General features: G+C 42.8%; 1 protein-coding gene and 1 pseudogene across 1 annotated transcript in view, besides 3 other annotated features; one reads left to right on the top strand and one right to left on the bottom strand.

Annotated features, from left to right (window-relative positions):
* Nucleotides 1–22,090, top strand: part of PFKFB3 (6-phosphofructo-2-kinase/fructose-2,6-biphosphatase 3) — a 181,717-nt gene that overhangs the window by 131,507 nt on the left and 28,120 nt on the right. The gene's annotated exons all lie outside the window — the stretch shown is intronic.
* Nucleotides 2,892–3,646: an enhancer, noted in NCBI's record as "NANOG-H3K27ac-H3K4me1 hESC enhancer chr10:6321282-6322036 (GRCh37/hg19 assembly coordinates)". NCBI's record gives its function as "activates a minimal SCP1, AML or CMV promoter by ChIP-STARR-seq in naive H9 embryonic stem cells {active_cell/tissue: H9 hESC(naive)}" and the evidence as "EXISTENCE:reporter gene assay evidence [ECO:0000049][PMID:30033119]".
* Nucleotides 3,079–3,373: an enhancer, noted in NCBI's record as "tiled region #6271; HepG2 Activating DNase unmatched - State 5:Enh". NCBI's record gives its function as "activates a minimal TATA promoter and a strong SV40 promoter by Sharpr-MPRA in HepG2 cells {active_cell/tissue: HepG2}" and the evidence as "EXISTENCE:reporter gene assay evidence [ECO:0000049][PMID:27701403]".
* Nucleotides 16,479–18,313, bottom strand: SDCBPP1 (syndecan binding protein pseudogene 1; annotated as a pseudogene).
* Nucleotides 19,333–19,562: an enhancer, noted in NCBI's record as "active region_2967". NCBI's record gives its function as "activates an Ori minimal core promoter by ATAC-STARR-seq in GM12878 lymphoblastoid cells {active_cell/tissue: GM12878}" and the evidence as "EXISTENCE:reporter gene assay evidence [ECO:0000049][PMID:35858748]".

Below are 22,090 nucleotides of genomic sequence, written 5' to 3' on the forward strand. Positions count from 1 at the left end.
ATGCCAAAAAGAGAAATCTCTGTATGGGAGACTATCATTTAGCTGCAGACAGGATAGTTACAGATTAATTGCTGGCCTTATCTAACTACTAGCTACAATAACTCCAATTTGGGGTCGGCCAAGTACCAATGAACTTCGCTTTCTCTGGGCAACAGCTGAGATGTTGCAGCTGCAAGTGGGGTTAAATAGCCTCCAATAAAGGAAAAAACTTGAGGAGTAATTCAATTAAAAAAAAATTGACATAATTATAGATTCAAGGATGATGCAAACAAAAAGTGTGCAGGAAGGTCCTTGTCCCCTTCCCTCAGTTTCTCCCAATGTGACATCTTACATAGCTACAGTACAATATCACAACCATGATATTGAGATTGGGTCACAGAACCTACCTAGATTTCCCATTTTATATGTATTTGTGTGTGTGTGTGTGTGTGTGTGTGTGTAGTTGTAGGCAGGTTTATCACATGTGTGGATTCTTATAACCATCACCCAAATCAAGATATATCTTGATTTTGCTCCATCACCAGGAGGCTCCCTCATGCTACCCCTCTAGAGCCTCAAGTCACCTTCCCTCCTTTCTCCTCCCCACCTGCTGGCAACCACTAACCTGTTCCCCATTGCTGTAATTTTGTCATTTCAGAATGTTGCATAAATGGAATCATATTGTATGTGATACAGTTTGGATCTGTGTCCCCGCCCAGATCTCATGTTGAAATGTAATCCCCAGTGCTGCAGGTGGGGCCTGGTAGAAGGTGATTGGATCATGGGGATGGTTTCTTTTTCTTTCTTTCTTTCTTTTTTCTTTTTCTTTTCTTTTCTTTTTTTTTGAGACAGAGTATCGCTCTTTCACCCAGGCTGGAGTGCAGTGGCGCGATCTGGACTCACTGCAACCTCCGCCTCCTGGGTTCCAGCGATTCTCCTGAGTAGCTGGGATTACAGGTGCACACCAACACGCCCAGCTAATTTTTGTATTTTTAGTAGAGACAGGGTTTCACCATGTTGGCCAGGCTGGTCTTGAACTCCTGTCCTCAAGTGATCCACCTGCCTTGGCCTCCCGAAGTGCTGGGATTACAGGTGTGAGCCACCACACCCGGCCGTGGGGGTGGTTTCTAATGGTTTACATCATTTCCCTTGTGCTGTGCTCACAACAGAGTTCTTGCAAGATCTGTCTGTTTAAAAGTGTGTGGCATATCCCTGCCCCCGCACCTCCCTCCTGCTCTGGCCATGTAAGATGTGCCTGCTTCCCCTTTGCCTTCTGCCATGATTGTAAGTTTCCTGAGGCCTCCCTAGAAGCTGAGCAGATGCCAGCACCACGCTTTCTGTACAGCCTAAGGAACTATGAGCCAATGAAACCTCTTTTCTTCATAAATTACCCAGTCTCAGGTATTTCTTTATAGCAGTGTGAGAATGGACTAATACAGCATGTAACCTGCTAGTGGACTTCTTCATTCAGAAGGATTCCTTTGAGATCCATCCAAGTCATTTCTGTATTAATAGTTTTTTTTTTTTTTGACATGGAGTCTTGCTCTGTCATCAAGCTGGAGTGCAGTGGCACCATCTCTGGCTCACTGTGACCTCTGCCTCCTGAGTTCACACCATTCTCCTGCCTCAGCCTCCTGAGTAGCTGGGACTACAGGCATGTACCACCACACCCACCTAATTTTTGTATTTTTAGTAGAGACGGGGTTTCGCCATGTTTGCCAGGATGGTCTCGATCTCTTGACCTTGTGATCCGCCTGCCTCGGCCTCCCAAAGTGCTGGGATTACAGGCGTGAGCCGCAGTGCCCGGCTAGTTTGTTCTTTTTTATTAGTGAGTGGTATTCTGTGGTTTGGGTCAGCCATTGTTGATTTTTTTTTGTTGTTGTTGTTGTTTTTAAGAGGGAGTCTTGCTGCCAGGCTGGAGTGCAGTGGCACGATCTTGGGTCACTGCAACCTCCAACTCCCTGGTTCAAACAATTCTCCTGCTGCAGCCTCCCGAGTAGCTGGGATTACAGGCACGCACCACCACAGCCAGCTAATTTTTGTAATTTTTAGTAGAGACGGGGTTTCACCATGTTGTTCAGGCTGGTCTTGAACTCCTGACCTCATGATCTGCCCACCTCGGCCTCCCAAAGTACTGAGATTACAGGCGTGAGCCACCGTGCCTGGCCAGCCACTGTTGATTTTTAACCAGTTATCCCCTGAAGACCATTTGGGTTGTTTCCAGTTTGAGGTTATTTGGAATAAAATAGCCATCTGCATAGCCATTTTAAAGCTAAAGTGGATACTAACTTCTAGAGCAGAGGTTTGCGGAGGGCAGACTTTTGTACACATTTCTATCCTCTAGGACTTAGCCTAGTGCTTGCATGCAGATGCTCAATAAATGCTCGTTTAAGGAATGAATAGACACATAGGAGCCATTTAAGGAGACAGTGTGGTGGGTGGTAAAATCATAGGTTTTAGACTTAGACAGACTCGAATGCTAGGCCTGACTTTGTTACTTTCTCCCTGAGAGGTCCCATGCAGAGGCCTCTGCTCCTTATCTGTAAAACGAGATAGGAACAGGACTGCTGTTATAGGGCTGCGGCGAGAATTCACTGAGGAAATGCATGAAGCCCTGAGTGTGGTGTCTGCCACACAGCAATTGCTCACTAACCTTCAGTTGTGATGATTACTATGAATAGATCATTGATGTGCATAAGATCATAATAATGCAATAGCTACTAACTTATTATGGCTTTTATTCTGAATGCTTTTATCCCTCCAATGAGGACATATCATTTATATAGTCTATATTCATGCATGGTTAAATTTTTAAGTCATGTAAATGTGAATTTTTAAAATGTCTCAACTGACTTCTTTTTTAAATAACAAGTCTTTCTTAGTGTTATTATCTTAGGAACATTAGTGGTCAACTATCTAACATCGTATGCATATTTTTAGAAATTTGGAAGGACTGAAATGTTCTTTTCTGTGCCGCCAATCGGGTTTCTATCAACCTTGGGAAAGGGCATCTGCTCTTATAAAAATGGGCTGAGCAGATTTTATTTTTCCTGTTCATCATATTATAAATTCATCTGGAGGAACAACAAGGATCTTGGTTCTTTGGTTGATGTATGAGCACTTAGAAGAGAGAAAGGCTCTTTTCCTGCTTCCTGCTGTGTTTGCTGTCTGTGTGCCTGGGGTCACGTTTGGGGGAATGTCTCTCCGTCTCTCCGGTGACCTCCTGGAATGTCAGCAGAGCCCTGAGTCACTCAGAACCTCCCGCCAGACAGCATGAGGCGGCAATCAGAAACTAACCATTAACTAGCTCCGGGGACACCAGGAGGTGAACAAAATTTCCAGCCATTTGACAAAGACCAGTGCTATTTACCATTACATAAATGAGGCTGGAGTCATTGATCTTGACTTCTCAAGGCACTCCTATGCGGAAGGTGCTGGGCTACTCTCTGCTGGGTTCTGGGGATTAATTAGACATTGGCCTGACCCTGGCTGCATGCTGTGTGTGTAGGAAAGGCTGTGAAGGAAGGCCTCTTGGAAGACTCAGAGCTTTGCAGGTGGGCAGGACATCAATAGGCAGATAGGACCGGATAGCTTTGGGAGACAGGGTTCCAGGGCTTTCCACGCTGTCCGTGTCACACAGCGGACACACCTGGCTCGTTACCTTTGAGCTGTGACATCTTTGCTCAGCTGCCCCTTCTACCTAAAACCCCTTCTCTGGAGACATTCTCTTCATCAATCAAGACCCAGTGCTGGCGTCTCTTCCTCCAGGATAACTGCCTCACGTCTACCAGGCAGAAGGAATTGGATTTTTCCCTCTGTGGTGACATAGTCCTTTATTAAGCTGTATGTAGTACTTGCCGCCTTATTTTATTTGGATATGTAGACCATCCGTCTTCCTCCTTTGGGCGGATAGCGCCTTGATGGTACGATTGGGCATGGGCCATGTCATGTCCCTAGAAACATGTGCATGGCCCCAGCCTGTGGAAGGCATCAGCCAGTGTTTGTGAACCTGGCTCGCCTGACGGTGGGAGGAAGTAGGACGGGCCAGTGGCTCTCAGTGCTCACCAATATCCTGTGTTCCTCATCCTTCAGGACACACCCTTAGATCGTGTAATGTCTTTTGTCACTGCCTTTGTGTTAGATGTGAGCATAGCATCAATCCTGGCCATGGAATTTGTCACTTTTAGCCCAGTCTAGAAAAACCTTCTCTGCAGGAGCCCTGCTGTCTTCTCCATCTGCTTGCTGAATAGAGAGGGGCATGAGGCTCTCTAGGAGGACAGAGCCACAGATAGCAGAAGTCAGCGTCCCTGGTTAGAAGCAAGGGGGACTGTTCCCTGATTGGGAACACTGAATTGGGCTTTATGAGAGTGAGGCACATGCTTTTTTTTTTGTTTTAAATTTTTTATGTTTCTGTAGTTTTTTGGGGGAACAGATGGTGTTTGGTTACATAAGCAGGTTCTTTAGTGATGATTTGTGAGATTCTGGTGCACCCATCGCCCGAGCAGTATACACTGAACCCAATTTGTAGTCTTTTATCCCTCACCCCCTTCCCACCCTTTCCCCCTGAGTCCCCAAAGTCCATTGTATCATTCTTATGCCTTTGCATCCTCATAGCTTAGCTCCCACTTATGAGTGAGAACATGCGATGTTTGGTTTTCCATTCCTGAGTTACTCCACTTAGAATCATACTCTCCAGTCTCATCCAGGTTGCCGTGAATGCCATATATTCATTCCTTTTTATGGCTGATTAGTATTCCATCATATATATATATATATACACCACAGTTTCTTTATCCACTCATTGACTGATGGGCCTTTGGTTGGTTCCACATTTTTGCAGTTGTGAATTGGTGAGGCAGAAGCATTTAATTGGGAAAGTTCCTGAAAGTTTGGGATTGTTTTGTTACAACAGCCAGCCTGACTCAGTTTAACTTTACTTACTAACACAGAGATGGAGACTGCATCCTAGGGCATACAGAAACGGCTCCATCTAGCTGCAAGTGAAGCCCAGACTGTGTAGTTTTGATTCTGGACAACCACATGCCCAGCTAAAAATTTGGCATTGGTAGAAGAAGAGAATAACAGATATCGGGGCTCCCATAACAGCATCTTCCATAGAGGCTCAGACAGCTCTTTGAGGTTTTAAAAAGTGCCACTTCTCTTAACTGATACATTCCACTGTTTTTCCCCCACCCTCCAATTAAACCAAGTAGGGTTCATCTCACTGAAAAGCTGTTGAATCAGGATTTTCTTTCTTTTCTATGCTTTTTTTAAAAAAAGTTATACTGGGGCAAACTTTGAGGTATTAACTAAAGTTTCCTTAATCTCCCTCTGTCTCTATTACTTGGCACTGCACTCCAGGATCCTCCTAGGGAACTAGACCCACAAGGCTGAAGCAGGCTTCACTTTAGTAAGAAGGCAGATGCAGCAAAGATCGATTGAATCTCTAAGTAGATTTTAAAACAAATTCATGAGCTTGAAATCTAAGGAAATTAAAATGGAAAGATTTTTGAGCCCAAAGAATAAATCCTGAAGGACTCAGAGCATGAATTTTTTTTTTTTTTTTTTAAGAGATGAGGTCTCACTATGTTGCTCAGGCTGGAATGCAGCGACTATTCACAGGCACCTTCACGGCACACTACAGGTTCGAACTCCTGGGCTCAAGTGATCCTCCTGCCTCAGCCTCCCGTATAGCTGGGGCTACAGGCACACACCACCATGCCCGGCTGAATTTTATCATGAAAATGATCACAATGGAGATGATTGTGTGCTGGTGTAAAATCTGTTTTCCTGCTAGAGAGAAAGCATGGACTAGTTGAGGGCATGGAAAAGAATTGGTGGTGACCGGATTCAGGCTCAGATCCCTGGCTCCTCCTCTTTGGGTCAGATTCTCAAGAGACAGGATCATAAGAGCCTCTCCACTGGTTCTCAGATTCTCTGTGCATAACATACCCTTGGGCGGCTCAATGTATGTTTCCAGATTCCCGCTGCATGGTCTGACTCAGTGTGTCTGTTGGGAACATGGCAGCTTAATTTTAAAATTACTATTCTGATTATGATAGCACCACTGTAAATTTAAAGGGATTCTGGAGCAGCTGTGACCGTAGCAGCAGATGTAGTGAGGCTGGGGCTTAGCCCTACCATCCAATGGGCCAGGCTACCCTTCAGGAAAGACAAGCATAGACCTAAGGCCGCTCTAGGCCAAATGTCTCTCTTTCTCTGAGGACAAGATAAAAGCTCCTTGAAACTCATATCACCACCAAGAAGGTGCGAATAAGGGGGAAAGTGAGCCTTAAAGTAACCAAGAATTTACTCAAAAGAGGAGAAGACGATTCAGAGGTTAGTGAGTTTACCCTGACTTGGCAAAATTATGCCATATTCTGCCATCAACAAACATAGGAGCTGTGTTCAGTTCAGCGATAAGAGTATAGAAAGTTCCTTTGTCTTTGTATGTCTGAATGTTTGGTTTTTAGACCTACCAGGTATGGGGTTTAATCTGGAATTTCTATGGAGTGATTTATTTTTCTCACTCACCCTATATTTTCCTGCTGTGCTAGTTGTTCTATTTATTTATTTGAGACAGAGTTTGGTTCTTCTTGTCCAGGATGAAGTGCAATGGCACGATCTTGGCTCACTGCAACCTCCGCCTCCCAGGTTCAAGCGATTCTCCTGCCTCAGCCTCCTGAGTAGCTGGGATTACAGACGCCTGCCACCATGCCCAGCTAATTTTTTTGTATTTTTGGTAGAAACAGGGTTTCACCATGTTGGCTGGGCTGGTGTCAAACTCCTGACATCAGGTGATCCACCCGCCTCGGCCTCCCAAAGTGCTGGGATTACAGGAGTGAGCCACCGCGCCCAGCCAAGTTATTCTATTTAATCAGGACAATTCTGTGTCTATTGCCTTGGGAGGTGTGCGTATGGGGGCAGGTGGGTAGAACATGACTCAAAGCAGAAGTAAGTTTCTTTGGCTTTATTCTTCCCAAAGCCTATGTCCTTATGGGAATGGTGAGGAGGCCTGGCCATCTTGAGGCAACAGGCTGCCCCACCTCCATCCCTGCTGTGCCTACTGAGTCCAAAAGCTGAAGAACTTGGAGTCCAGTGTTTGAAGGCAGGAAGCATCCAGCATGGGAGAAAGATGGAGGCTGGAAGACTCAGCCCTGAATGAGAGGAAAGAGCAGAGGGTGGGCAAGTGAGAAATAAAGCAAGATGGAAGCACTGGAGAGAGGAGCTGTAGCCATATCAGACCAACCTTGTTCAGTTTTTAGTGAACAAAGTTACGAGTTGTTTTTCAGTTGCTGTGGACCCCCAGATTGAAGTTCAAGTAACGTGAGCATGCCCAGGTGAACCAATCGTGCAACCACGGGTGGAACCTAAGTGCTCAGACTGAGCAGTGGGGACTGAATTAAGGAGCGAACACTGCAGGCAGGATCCAGGATCCAATCAGATTGGACCCTGGTGCCACCCCATGGCAGGATTCAGTCAGATCATGCCTCCCAGTATCATCTCATCGCAAGATCCAATCACATCATGCCTCATTACCCTATGCTTATAAAACCCATTGCAGCCCCCAGCTCACGGAGACAGAGCAGAGAGCTTCCTCCTCTCTCCTTGTGAGTTGACTCACAATACATCTTTCTCACTGCGAAAATCCAGTGCTTCAGCGTTATATTTGTTAAGGTGGATTTTATGACCCAGAATATGATCTGTCTTGATGAATGTTCCATGTGAGCTTGAGAAGATTGTGTATTTTGCTGTTGTTGAAAGGATTATTAATAAATGTCAATTAGATTCTGTTGATTGATGGTGCTGTTCAGTTCCACTGTGTTCTTACTGATTTTCTGCCTGCTAGACCTATTTTTTATACCGGGGTGTTGAAGTCTTCAACTATAATCGGGAATTCATCTATTTTTCCTTGCAGTCCTTTCAGTTTTTGCCTCACATATTTTGATGCTCTGTTATTAGGCACATATACATTAAAAATTGTTATGTCTTCTTGGAGAATTGACCCCTTTATCATTTGTAATGCCCCTCTTTATTCCTGATAATTTTCTTTGCTCTGAAGTCTGCTTTGTCTGAAATTAATACAAATACTCCAGCTTCCTTTTGATTAGTGTTAGCACATAATATTGATTAGTAACTTTCTTCATCCTTTTACTTCAAAATTTTTTATTTTGGCATAATATACACAATGAAATTTACCATTTTAACTATTTTAATGTGTACAGTTTAGTGGTCTTAGGAATATTCATAGTGTTTGCCAAGTATCACCACTGTCCATTCCCAGAACTTGGAAACAAGAACTCTGAACTCACTGAACTGTAACTCCCAATTTCCCTCTCCTCCATCTCCAGCCCCTGGTAGCCTCTATGTTACATTCTTTCCCTATAAATTTCCTATTCTAGCTACCTCATGTAAGTAGAATCATGCAATATTTGTCCTTTTGTCTTTGGCTTATTTCACTTACAATAATGTTTTTAAGGTTTATCTATGTTATAGCATAAATCAGGATTTTTTCCCATTTTTAAGGTTGAATAACATTCCATTGCATGTATACCGTGTATTGTTCATCCATTCATCTGTTGATGGACATTTGAGTTGTTTCTACCTTTTGGCTATTGTGAATAATGCTGCTATGAACATTGGTATACAAGTATCTGCTTAGCCTCCTGCTTTCAGTTCTTTGGGGTATGAATCTAGAGGTGGAATGGATGGATCATATGGCAGTTTTATGTCTAAGGTTTTGAGGAAATGCCAAACTATTCCACAGCAGCAGTACCATTTTCATTTCTATCAGCAATACACAAGTGCTACAATCTCTATTTTTTTTTTTTTGTCTTTTTTTTTGAGATGGAGTTTCACTCTTGTTGCCCAGGCTAGAGTGCAATGGTGTGATATCGGCTCACTGCAACTTCTGCCTCCTAGATTCAAGCGATTGTCCTGCCTCAGCCTCCTGAATAGCTGGGATTATAGGCATGTGCCACCATATCTGGCTAATTTTGTATTTTTAGTAGAGACGGGGTTTTACCATGTTGGTCAGGCTGGTCTCAAACTCCTGCCCTCAAGTGATCCACCTGCCTCAGCCTTCCAAAGTGCTGGGATTACAGGCATGAGCCACTGCGCCCAGCTCAATCTCTTTACTTAAAAAAATTGTGGTAAGAACACTTTATGTGAGATCTACCCTCTTATCAGATTTTTGAGTGTACAATACATTATTGTTGACTCTGGGTACAATGTTATGCAGAAGATCTCTAGAGCTTGTTCATCTTGCTTGACTAAGACTTCATGCCTATTGATTAATGACTCCCTATTTCCCCTTCCTCCCAGCTCCTGGCAACCACCATTCCACTGTTTGATTCTATGAATTTAACTATTTTAGATACCTCGTGTAAGTGGAATCATGCAGTATTTGTCTTTCTGTGACTGGTTTATTTCACTTAGCATAATGTTCTCAAGTTTCATTCATATTGTCATACCGAATTTTCTTCTTTTTTAAGACTGAATAATATTTCATTGTATGTATGTACTACGTTTTAAAATCCATTCATCTGTTGACCATCCTTTCACTGTTTTTTTTTTTTTTTTTTTTTTTGAGATGGAGTCTCGCTCTGTCGCCCAGGCTGGAGTGCAGTGGTGTGATCTTGGCTCACTGGAAACTCCACCTCCCGGGTTCACGCCATTCTCCTGCCTCAGCCTCCCGAGTAGCTGGGACTACAGGCACCCACCACCACGTCTGGCTATTTTTTTGTATTTTTAGTAGAGGCAGGGTTTCACTGTGTTATCCTTGATGGTCTCCATCTCCTGACCTTGTGATCTGCCCACCTCGGCCTCCCAAAGTGCTGGGATTACAGGCGTGAGCCACCACGCCAGGCCCTTTCACTTTTAATCTATTTATATCTTTAATTTGGGTTTCTTGTAGGCAACATATAGCTGGGTCTTGTTTTTTAATTCACTCTGACAGTCTTTTATTTTATTATTTATTTATTTATTTTGAGATGGAGTCTCACTCCGTCACTCAGGCTGGAGTGGAGTGGCATGATCTCAGCTCACTGCAACCTCTGCCTCCTGGGTTCAAGTGATTCTCCTGCCTCAGCCTCCCAAATAGCTGGGATTACAGGCGTAGGCCACCGTGCCCAGTTAATTTTTGTATTTTTAGTAAAGATGGGGTCTCACTATGTTCGCCAGGCTGGTCTCAAACTTCTGACCTCACATGATCTGCCCAACTCGGCCTCCCAAAGTGCTGGGTTTATACATATGAGCCACTGTGCCCAGCCAGTCTTTGCTTTTAACTGGTGTATTTAGACCATTCACATTTAAAGTGATTATTTTTATAGTGGGTTTAATATCTACTGTATTCATAAGTATTTTGTATTGATTGCCTCATTGTCCTTGCTGTTGTTTTTTTTCCACTCTTTTTTCTGCATTATCTGGTTTTAATTGAGCATCTTATATGATTTAATTATCTTCCCTCTCTTAGCTTATCAATTATATTTCTTCTTTAACCTTTTTAATTGGTTGCCCTAGAATTTGCAATATACATTTACAACTAATCTAGTTTTACTTGGAAATAACATTGAACAACTTCGCAGGTAGTGCAAGTATAGTGCACTGTATAATGATGTTTCAGTCAATGATAGACTGCATATACAATGGTGCTTCCATAAGAGATTATAATACTGTTTTTTTGTTTTGTTTTGTTTTGTTTTGGAGCCTCACTCTGTCACCCAGGCCACAGTGCAGTGGTGCAATCTCAGCTCACTGCAACCTCCATCTTCTGGGTTCAAGCAATTATCTTGCCTCAGCCTCCTGAGTAGCTGGGATTACAGGCACCTGTCACCATCATGCCCATCTAACTTTTGTATTTTTAGTAGAGACGGGGTTTCACCATGTTGGCTGGGCTAGTCTTGAACTCCTGACCTCAAGTGACCTGCCTGCCCGGGCCTCTCAAAGTGCTGGGATTACAGGCACGAGCCACTGAACCTGGCTGAGATTATAATACTGTATTTTTACTGTACCTTTCTGATGTTGGCTATGTATTTAGATAAACAAATATTTACCATAGTGTTACAATTTCCTACAGTATTTAGTACAGCAACATGCTGTACAGGATTGTAACCTAGCAACAATAGGCTGTACAATATAGCCTAGGTGTGCAGTAGGCTATACTATCTAGGTTTGTGTAAGTACACTCTGTGATGTTTGCAGAAGGACAAAATCACCTGATGACACATATCTCAGAATACGTCCCTGCCATTAAGTGACACCTGACTGTACTTTATAGCAGAGTACTCCCAGTTCCTCCCTCTTGTCCGTTATATGATTGCTGTCATTAATTTCACTTATCTATAAGCTATAATCACCAAATACATTATTACTATTATTATTTTGAACAAACTGCTATCTGTTAGATCAATTAAGAATAAGAAAAATAAAAGATTTTATTTACCTTCATTCATTCTTTCTCCATCCTTTCTTTATGTAGATTTGAGCTTCTGACCAACATTGTTTTCCTTCTCTCTGAAAAACTTCTTTTAATATTTCTTGCAAGGCAGTTCTATTGGAGACAGATTTCCTCAGTATTTTTCTGGGAGTGTCTTTATTTCTCCTTCACTTCTGAAAGATAATTTCACTGGGTACAATACTCTAGATTGATTATTTTTCTTCCAACACTTTAAATATCTCACTCCACTTTATTCTTGCTTGCATTCGTTTCAAAAAGAAGCCCATTATACTTTTTAATCCTAGTTCCTCTGTAGGTACGGTGTTTTTTTCTTTCGTCTGGCTTCTTTCTTTTTTTTTTTTTTTAATTATTATTATACTTTAAGTTTTAGGGTACATGTGCACAATGTGCAGGTTAGTTACACATGTATATATGTGCCATGCTGGTGTGCTGCATCCATTAACTCGTCATTTAGCATTAGTTATATCTCCTAATGCTATCCCTCCCCCCTCCCCCCACCCCACAACAGTCCCCAGAGTGTGATGTTCCCCTTCCTGTGTCCATGTGTTCTCATTGTTCAATTCCCATCTATGAGTGAGAACACGCGGTGTTTGGTTTTTTGTCCTTGCAATAGTTTGCTGAGAATGATGATTTCCAATTTCATCCATGTCCCTACAAAGGACATGGACTCATCCTTTTTTATGGCTGCATAGTATTCCATGGTGTATATGTGCCACATTTTCTTAATCCAGTCTATCATTGTTGGACATTTGGGTTGGTTCCAAGTCTTTGCTATTGTGAATAGTGCCACAATAAACATACGTGTGCATGTGTCTTTATAGCAGCATGATTTATAGTCCTTTGGGTATATACCCAGTAATGGGATGGCTGGGTCAAATGGTATTTCTAGTTCTAGATCCTTGCAGAATCGCCACACTGTCTTCCACAATGGTTGAACTAGCTTACAGTCCCACCAACAGTGTAAAAGTGTTCCTATTTCTCCACATCCTCTCCAGCACCTGTTTTTTCCTGACTTTTTAATGATCACCATTCTAACTGGTGTGAGATGGTATCTCACTGTGGTTTTGATTTGCATTTCTCTGATGGCCAGTGATGGTGAGCATTTTTTCATGTGTTTTTTGGCTGCATAAATGTCTTCTTTTGAGAAGTGTCTGTTCATGTCCTTCACCCACTTTTTGATGGGGTTGTTTGTTTTTTTCTCGTAAATTTGTTTGAGTTCATCGTAGATTCTGGATATTAGCCTTTTGTCAGATGAGTAGGTTGCGAAAATTTTCTCCCATTTTGTAGGTTGCCTGTTCACTCTCATGGTAGTTTCTTTTGCTGTGCAGAAGCTCTTTAGTTTAATTAGATCTCATTTGTCAATTTTGGCTTTTGTTGCCATTGCTTATGGTGTTTTAGACATGAAGTCCTTGCCCATGCCTATGTCCTGAATGGTAATGCCTAGGTTTTCTTCTAGGGTTTTTATGGTTTTAGGTCTAACATTTAAGTCTTTAATCCATCTTGAATTAATTTTTGTGTAAGGTGTAAGGAAGGGATCCAGTTTCAGCTTTCTACATATGGCTAGCTAGTTTTCCCAGCACCATTTATTAAATAGGGAATCCTTTCCCCATTGCTTGTTTTTCTCAGGTTTGTCAAAGATCAGATAGTTGTAGATAAGTGGCATTATTTCTGAGGGCTCTGTTCTGTTCCATTGATCTATATCTCTGTTTTGGTACCAGTACCATGCTGTTTTGGTTACTGTAGCCTTGTAGTATAGTTTGAAGTCAGGTAGCGTGATGCCTCCAGCTTTGTTCTTTTGGCTTAGGATTGACTTGGCGATGCGGGCTCTTTTTGGTTCCATATGAACTTTGAAGTAGTTTTTTCCAATTCTGTGAAGAAAGTCATTGGTAGCTTGATGGGGATGGCATTGAATCTATAAATTACCTTGGGCAGTATGGCCATTTTCATGATATTGATTCTTCCTACCCATGAGCATGGAATGTTCTTCCATTTGTTTGTATCCTCTTTTATTTCATTGAGCAGTGGTTTGTAGTTCTCCTTGAAGAGGTCCTTCACGTCCCTTGTAAGTTGGATTCCTAGGTATTTTATTCTCTTTGAAGCAATCGTGAATGGGAGTTCACTCATGATTTGGCTCTCTGTTTGTCTGCTATTGGTGTATAAGAATGCTTGTGATTTTTGTACATTGATTTTGTATCCTGAGACTTTGCTGAAGTTGCTTATCAGCTTAAGGAGATTTTGGGCTGAGACAGTGGGGGTTTCTAGATATACAATCATGTCATCTGCAAACAGGGACAATTTGACTTCCTCTTCTCCTAATTGAATACCCTTTATTTCCTTCTCCTGCCTGATTGCCCTGGCCAGAACTTCCAACACTATGTTGAATAGGAGTGGTGAGAGAGGGCATCCCTGTCTTGTGCCAGTTTTCAAAGAGAATGCTTCCAGTTTTTGCCCATTCAGTATGATATTGGCTGTGGGTTTGTCATAGATAGCTCTTATTATTTTGAGATATGTCCCATCAATACCTAATTTATTGAGAGTTTTTAGCATGAAGCGTTGTTGAATTTTGTCAAAGGCCTTTTCTGCATCTATTGAGATAATCTTCTGGCTTCTTTCAAGATTTTCTTTTTGTCTTTGATTTTTTTTTTTTTTTTTGAGACAGAGTCTTGCTCTATTGCCCAGGCTGGAGTGCAGTGGTGCGATCTCAGCTCACTACAACCTCCACCTCCTGGGTACAAATGATTCTTGTGCCTCAGCCTCCTGAGTAGCTGGGATTACAGGCACCCACCACCATGCCCAGCTAACTTTTTTTTTGTATTGTTAGTAGAGACGGGGTTTCACCATGTTGGCTAGACTGGTTTCGAACTCCTGACCTCAGGTGATCTGCCTGCCTTGGCCTCCCAGAGTGTTGGGATTACAGGCATAAGCCACCACGCCTGGCCTGTCTTTGATTTTCTAGATGTACATTTCTTTGGTATTTATCATGCTTGGTGTATTTATCCTCCTCTGAGCTTCCTGGTTTTGTGGTTTGGTATCTGTCATTAATTTTGGAAAATTTTCATCCATTATTACTTCAAATATTTTTTTCTGTCTCTTTCTCTTTTTTTCTGTGTGGTATTCCCATTACATGTTTGTTGCATACATGAGTTTCATTTTTTATTTTTGTTTTTAACTTTATGTGTACATATTTAATTAAAATAGAATAGGCATAAATCAAAAACAAGAAAATAATCAGGATAAAGTGTCCTGTCATTTAGTTTGCAAGGAGGAATCAGGAAGTGCAACAAATTACTAGAAAAATATTCTAAAACCATCTGAAGTGGCTAGGTTACATAATCTTCAGAGTCAAATGCCAAAGTTAAGTATTATACCACTTAATCCACAAATGAAAAAAAAGAGGAGTCAAAAGTTTATCTTGTTCAGGCTGGGCGTGGTGGCTCATGCCTATAATCCCAGCACTTTGGGAGGCCAAGGTGGGCGGATCACTTGAGGTCAGCCTGGTCAACATGGTGAAACCCTGTCTCCACAAAAAATAAAAAGATTAGCTGGGCATGGTGGTGCATGTCTGCAGTCCCAGCTACTCAAGAGGCTGAGGCAGGAGAATTGCTCAAGCCCAAGAGGCAGAGGTTGCATTGAGCAGAGATTGTGCCGCTGCACTCCAGCCTGGGCAGTGGAATAAGTGAGACTCTGTCTCAAAAAAAAAAAAAAAAAAAGTGTCCTGTTTACTAGAACAATTTTTACATTCAATCTATAGTGCTACTGGCAACTTTCAGAAGAAAGAAGTTTCCATTATGCATTGACTAGAAAATCTCAAATACAACTAAGCAGCTATGCTATGCTATAGCTCGTTAAGTATCATTAAACTGCTCTGGGCTAGTGTACATTTCAGATTAATAGAGAACCACATTTTGCGTTTTAGAAAGGCAGCAGTAATTCTATTTCAGCTTTTAGTCTGGATGCTTAACACAGTTAAGGCGACAGTTCAAGCACATTAAGTGAAGGTAGTTAAGATTTCAGAACAATCATCACCATCTCTTACAACCTACATACACTGTTTAATGCTTACGTGGAAGGAAACCAGTGGTTTTTTTTTTTTTTTTTTTTTTTTTTGAGACAAAGTCTCACTCTGTTGCTTAGGCTGGCATACAGTGGTTTGATCTTGGCTCACTGCAACCTCCACCTCCCGAGTTCAAGCAATTCTGCTGCCTCAGCCTCCCGAGTAGCTGGGATTACAGGCATGTGCCACCATGCCTGGCTAAGTTTTATATTTTTAGTAGAGACAGGTTTTCACCATGTTGGCCAGGCTGGTCTCGAACTCCTGATCTCAAGTGATCCTCCCACCTCAGCATCCCAAAGTGCTGGGATTACAAGTGTGAGCCACAGCACCCAGCCGAAACCAGTGTACTTTTTTTTTTTCTTTTTTTTTTTTTTTTTTTTTTTTGAGACAGAGTCTCACTCTGTCGCCCAGGCTGGAGTGCAGTGGCGCAATCTCGGCTCACTGCAAGCTCCGCCTCCTGGGTTCATGCCATTCTCCTGCCTCAGCCTCCCGAGTAGCTGGGACTACAGGCGCCCACCACCACACCCAGCTAATTTTTTTGTATTTTTAGTAGAGACAGGGTTTCACCATCTCTACTAGCCAGGATGGTCTCGATCTCCTGACCTCGTGATCTGCCCACTTCAACCTTCCAAAGTGCTGGGATTACAGGCGTGAGCCACCGTGCCTGGCCCGAAACCAGTGTTCTTAATTGGCATTTTATACACACATACACAGAATTAAAAAAAAAAAAAACTATCAAGGGCAATCATTCTAAGTGTACTGTGGTAGAATGTGTTAAAAATGCAAACATCCCATAGAACTAAAGTAACATGAACAGCACTTCTCATGGCCTAGGAGAAAGGTGACTGGTTCTCACACAAAGCTAAGCCTGTATCAGTCATTCTAATCACAATGGCTTATGAAAGTATCAGGTTTCCGGAAAAGCAACTATTCCAGGAAAGTCAGTAAATCTCTTGAAAGTTTCACCTCTATAAAACCAGGATAAGGCTACAGCTCTCTTGAAATCTGAACAGGTTATCAGATGAAACAGTAAGATTCCCAGCCATAATGTGAGATGGAAAGATCCTCATGCAGCGTATGCTCAATTGCTGGCCCCAGAAAGCCTCACGTGCAGAATACAGAAGTTGCCAAAGAAGGAAACGGAGACGTTCAGCTACATTTCCGTCGTGTGATGAATTTTAAACCCTCAGGAATGGTGTGGTCTATTAGGCTTTTCATCATGCTTGGTGTCATCCACTTAATCTGTTCAAAGATAAAAGAAGACATGATTGTAATAGTAACTCGAGTCCCAGATGTTGACAGTATGTCTGCAATTTGAGAGTCCTTCAGTCCAGTGACCTTCTGTCTGTTGATTTCACAGATGTTGTGTTCTGTGAGAAGACCATTTCTGGCTACAGAACTGTCTTTCACTATGGATGTTATCTTTTCTTTCTTTCTTTCTTTCGGAGATGGAGTCTTACTCTGTTGGCCAGGCTGGAGTGGAGTGGTGCAATCTCGGCTCACTTCATCCCCTGCCTCCTGGATTCAAACAATTTTCCTGCCTCAGCCTCCTGAGTAGCTGGGATTATAGGTGTGCACCACCATGCCTGGCTAATTTTTGTAGTTTTAGTAGAGATGGGGTTTCACCACATTGGCCAGGCTGGTCTCAAACTCCTGACATAAGGTGATCTGCCTGCCTTGGCCTCCCAAAGTGCTGGGATTACAGGCGTGAGCCACGACGTCCGGTCTATTTTTCCATTTTAAATGATAAAACCAACATGTCCAGTGCTATCCTTATGCATGGTAATTGTCCATTCAAAGGGCCTGTCATGAATGGACGTAGAAATCTTCTCTTGAAAAGCCTGTTTGAGCACCTTGTGCACTTTATCTGAGCTCCAGCCTGCACAGTTTTCACCATTGATTTGGAGTACTTGGTTCCCAAATCTCAGACCAACCAATAAGGTTGGAGAGTTATCCTTGACTTGCTGAACACATATACCATTATCTATTGATTTAAGCCAGAGTTCAATTTTTCCATCTTGGTCCTTATGGCTTCACGAATTTTCCATCTTGATCCAATGGCTTCATGAATCCCTTGCTTAATTTCTGCTCTACAAATTCCAACATCATTACCAGTTATAGGAGCCATTGTATAGTTCGTACTGGAAGGTCTTGCTACCAACTGGCCCTGAATTGGCGCACCAGAAACCATGGTCATATTTGCATGTGTTTCTTCTTTATTTAAACTCAGGCCTATGTGTTGAGAGAGCTCTGGATATAGTTTGGAATAGAGGTTTCCATCTTGAGAGATGTGAACAGAAGCTTCTGACAAAATTGCTGGGTTGGCAGGGTTTGCAGCAAAAGCAGTGTATTAATCTGTTCTCACACTGTTAATAAAGACATACCTGAGACTTGGTAATTTATAAAGGAAAGAGATTTAATTGACTCACAGTTCCACATGGCTGGAGAGGCCTCACAGTCATGGTGGAAGGCAAAGGAGGAGCAAAGTCATGTCTTATATGGCAGCAGGCAAGAGAGCGTGTGCAGGGAAACTCTCCTTTATAAATCCATCAGATCTCGTGAGACTTATTCGCTATCACAAGAACAGCATGGGAAAGACCCGCCCTCATGATTCAATTACCTCCCACCGGGTCCCTCCCATGACACATGGGAATTACGGGAGCTACAATTTGAGATATGGGTGGGGACATAGCCAAACCATATCAAGCAGTTTGAGCCTGAATTATTTAGTCTACCTTCAAATCTTTGAGAGATGGAGAGAGATATTTTTGCAGGATTCTTCTAGACCACAAGGACCCACTTGCCATCACTGCCTCCAGTCATTCTGCATAAGTAAGTTTTAGATTTCAAGCCTCTCCTTTTGATTCTTTCTTAGAGTTTCCATCTCTCTGCCTCCATTTCCCATCTGCTCTTGGATGTTGTCCAACTTTTCCATTAGAGCCTTTAGCATATTAATCAGTTATTTTACATTTCTGGTCTGATAATCCCCACATCTCTGCCATACCTAGGTTTGTGTATGATGTTTGATTTGTTTCTTCAGAAGGTGTTTTTTTTTTGTTTTTTTTTTTTATCATGCCTTGTAATTTTCTGTTGAAAGTCAGATATGATGTATTGGGTAAAAGGAAATGACATAGATTGATCTCTAGTGTGTTTATCTGGCTAGGAGTGAGGCTGTGTTCACTGTTTGCTGTAGCTGTAGTGTCACAGATTAAAATTTTCTTGAACACTTTTGTTTTTGTCTCCTGTGATGTCTTGGGTTTTCCTAGAGACTCCTTGAATAGGGTCTTAGGCTTGTAGATTTTATTTTATTTTATTTTTTTGAGAAGGAGTCTCACTCTTGTTGCCCAGGCTGGAGTGCAATGGTGCAATCTTGGTTCACTGCAACCTCTGCCTCCAGGGTTCAAGCCATTCTCCTGCCTCAGCCTCCCAAGTAGCTGGGATTACAGGCGCCCACCTCCACGCCTGGCTAATTTTTTTGGTATTTTTAGTAGAGATGGGTTTTCACAATGTTGGCCAGGCTGGTCTTGAACTCCTGACCTCAGGTGATCCACCCCACCTTGACCTCCCAAAGTGCTGGGATTACAGCCGTGAACCACCGCACCCAGCCAATTTTTTTTTTTTTTAAGCTGAAATCCCGTTATTATACAGGCGCCATCTTGATGTGGTGGTGAGGTGTGGGGGTTAGGGAAGCATTCTTTACTTTTCTGATCAAGTCTTAGTCTTTTAGTGAGCCTGAGTTGGGTGTTTCTCTTCCCCCAGGCCAGCTGGGCCTTGGTAAAACCCCAGTAGGTTAGACTCTGGCAAAGTAGTTTCCCTTGAGGGCAGAACTTGTTAAAGAGAACAGAGAGCTCTGGGTGTATTTCAGAACAGTTACTTTCCCCCTCCTCTGCTGGAAGTTAGAGGGTACTTTTCTCTGATCTTCACAATGGAGACCTGGTGGAATTCCCCAAGGCAAAACTCACACAAGCGTGGGCACCTCCCTAAGACTGGGTCCCTTTAGAGCTTTCAATTCTCAAGCTAGTTTACACTGAGCCTCCAGCAACTAGTTGATGACAGTTTCACACACTACAACAGATATTGGCTCCAGCTGTGAGTTTCTGCTCCCAGGAAGCTGTCATTCTTTGTATTTTTCTGTCTCTCCAGTTTTGGGGACAGAGATTGGCTCTGTGACCTCAATTCTCTGATGGATCAAAAAGTTGATGATCTTTAGTTTGTTCAGCTTTTTTTCTTGTTGCAAGAATGGGAGAGATGACTTCCAAGTTCTTTACTGGAAGTTGGCATTTTCTTTTTTTTCTTTTCTTTTCTTTTTTTTTTTAAGTAAATGTAAGTTTGTAGACTGAGATGTGTACCCACTATAGACTGATCTCTACAAATATTGTTGGAAACTTCTCAGTAGCCATTCAATTCAAAAAAAGGACTCTCAGACCTAGTTTAGAGGAATGTTACCGGAAAGGGGTCCCAATCCAGACACCAAGAGAGGGTTCTTGGATCTCACTCAAGAAAGAATTTGAGGCAAATCCATAGAATAAAGTGAAAGCAAGTTTATTAAGAAAGTGAAGTAATAAAAGAGTGGCTACTCCATAGGCAGAGCAGCGGTGTGGGCTGCTCAGTTGCTTACACTTATTGTGACTTCTGGATTATATGCTAAACAAGGGGTGGATTATTCATGAGTTTTCTAGGAAAGAGGTGGGCAATTCTCGGAACAGAGGGTTCCTCCCCTTTTTAGACCATATAGGGTAACTTCCTGATGTCATGACATTTGTAAACTGTCGTGGTGCTGGTGGGAGTGTCTCTTAGCATGCTAATGCATTATAATTAGCATGTAATGAGCAGTGAGGATGACCAGAGGTCACTTTCTTCGCCATCTTGGTTTTGGTGGGCTTTGGCTGGCTTCTTTACTGCATCCTGTTTTATCAGCAAGGTCTTCATGACCTGTATCTTGTGCCGACTTCCTATGACCTAGAATGCCTAACTTCCTGGGAATGCAGCCCAGTAGGTTTCAGCCTCATTTTACCCAGCCCCTATTCAAGATGGAATTGTTCTGGTTTGAACATCTCTGACAGGAACCCAAGGTAAAGGGATAATTAAAGCTTGGACCTCACCTGTGTATGACCAACCATGCTGTAGGGAAAACAGCAGCACAATCTTGAGGTAGAATCTGGGTCTCCTAACACCAACCAGGCTTGCCTGGGCGTAACCAGGAAGTGGAATATTTTAGTGCCTGTGACATTCCTTTGTGTCCCAGTGGAGCATAAACAGATTCAGTGTTTGGCTAAGTGCTGGAAGAGCAGCCCAGGGTCCCCCGGCCCCTGCTATGCATCTGCCTTGATTGATGTGCACAGTGGAAGTGGCTTTCATCGGAGAAGCAATTGTGTGTAGGTTCCTGGGAGAAAAGGGAACATGCCACTTGTTCCCTGGTTAGGACACAGGGATGATGCTTGAACCCTAGGGAGAGAGTAGGCAAAAGATAAAAAGGCCACATCCGTGAGCACTTTGTGTGGCCCAAGAGCAGGAGCAGGGCTGCTTCAGAGCCCAGGTAACAAAGTGCAGATGAGAATCAGGAGAGAGGTGCCAGTGAGGTGTCCTTCTTTTTTTTTTTGTAGGCATCCTGTGGTCGTGGCACAGGTAGGGACAGGTAAGGAAGCACCGTTGGAGGGAAGCAAGACGTTTACTGCTGTAGGAGCAAGATGTCCCCATGAGGGGTACGTGGAGGACGTTTCTGAGCTCCTGTGGGAACTGTCTCAGGAATGTTTGCATTTGAGCTGGAAGCTTCTTGTCATGGATGAATTACAGCTCCTTGATGATGACCCTGTGGAGGGTGTGTCAAGTGATCGAGGATACTTTTGAGTAGGCTGACCTTTCCTTCTCTCCATATCCCAGAAGGGTCCTCTTTCCTATCTGTGGGTATTTCTACCTCTGCTCCACACATCTCTAGTCTTGTATAACACCTTGGCTTACAGGTGTTCCTAAAGACCCGTCTCTCTTCTGCTGATGACTTCCTGGGGGTATCAGTCTGTTCATCTGTCAAGAATGTGGATGAACAAACATATACATTACACTTCCAGACTGAAGAGGCTCTTAATAATTGGGCTGGAACCATAAGTCACTATGTTCTATTTAGGTATGGAACTTACCAGAACAGAAAGAAGGGGGGAGGAAGGAGACTTCTTGGCTAGCAGTCTGTTTATCTTATAAATCAGTCTGATCTCTTGAGCAAAAGTTAAAGGGAAAAAGTGGAGGAGACACTGTGACCTGGCCTAGGAAGTCTAGGTTTAAGCCAAGCCAAACACACTTCTCCTCTGTCTCAGCTCTGTGAGCTGTGAGTTCTGCTTCTCCTAGGGTAACCTCGGATTACCCTAGGTTACCTTGGCCAATGCCCGTGGAAACTGGCTCAAGAAAGGGAAGTAGGAGAATGGCAGAGTCCAGAGTCCACTTATTCTATGGTTCAGGGCACTTTTTTTTTTTTTTTCTTTTTTTGAGACAAGGTCTTGCTCTTTGCCCAGGAATTCAGTGGTGTGATCATAGCTCATTACAGCCTTCTACTCCTGGGGTCAAGAGATCCTCTCATCTCAGCCTCCCTAGTAGCGAGGACTATAGGC

Source organism: Homo sapiens, chromosome 10 (assembly GCF_000001405.40).
Source record: "Homo sapiens chromosome 10, GRCh38.p14 Primary Assembly".
In the NCBI taxonomy this organism is placed as follows: Eukaryota; Metazoa; Chordata; class Mammalia; order Primates; family Hominidae; genus Homo; species Homo sapiens.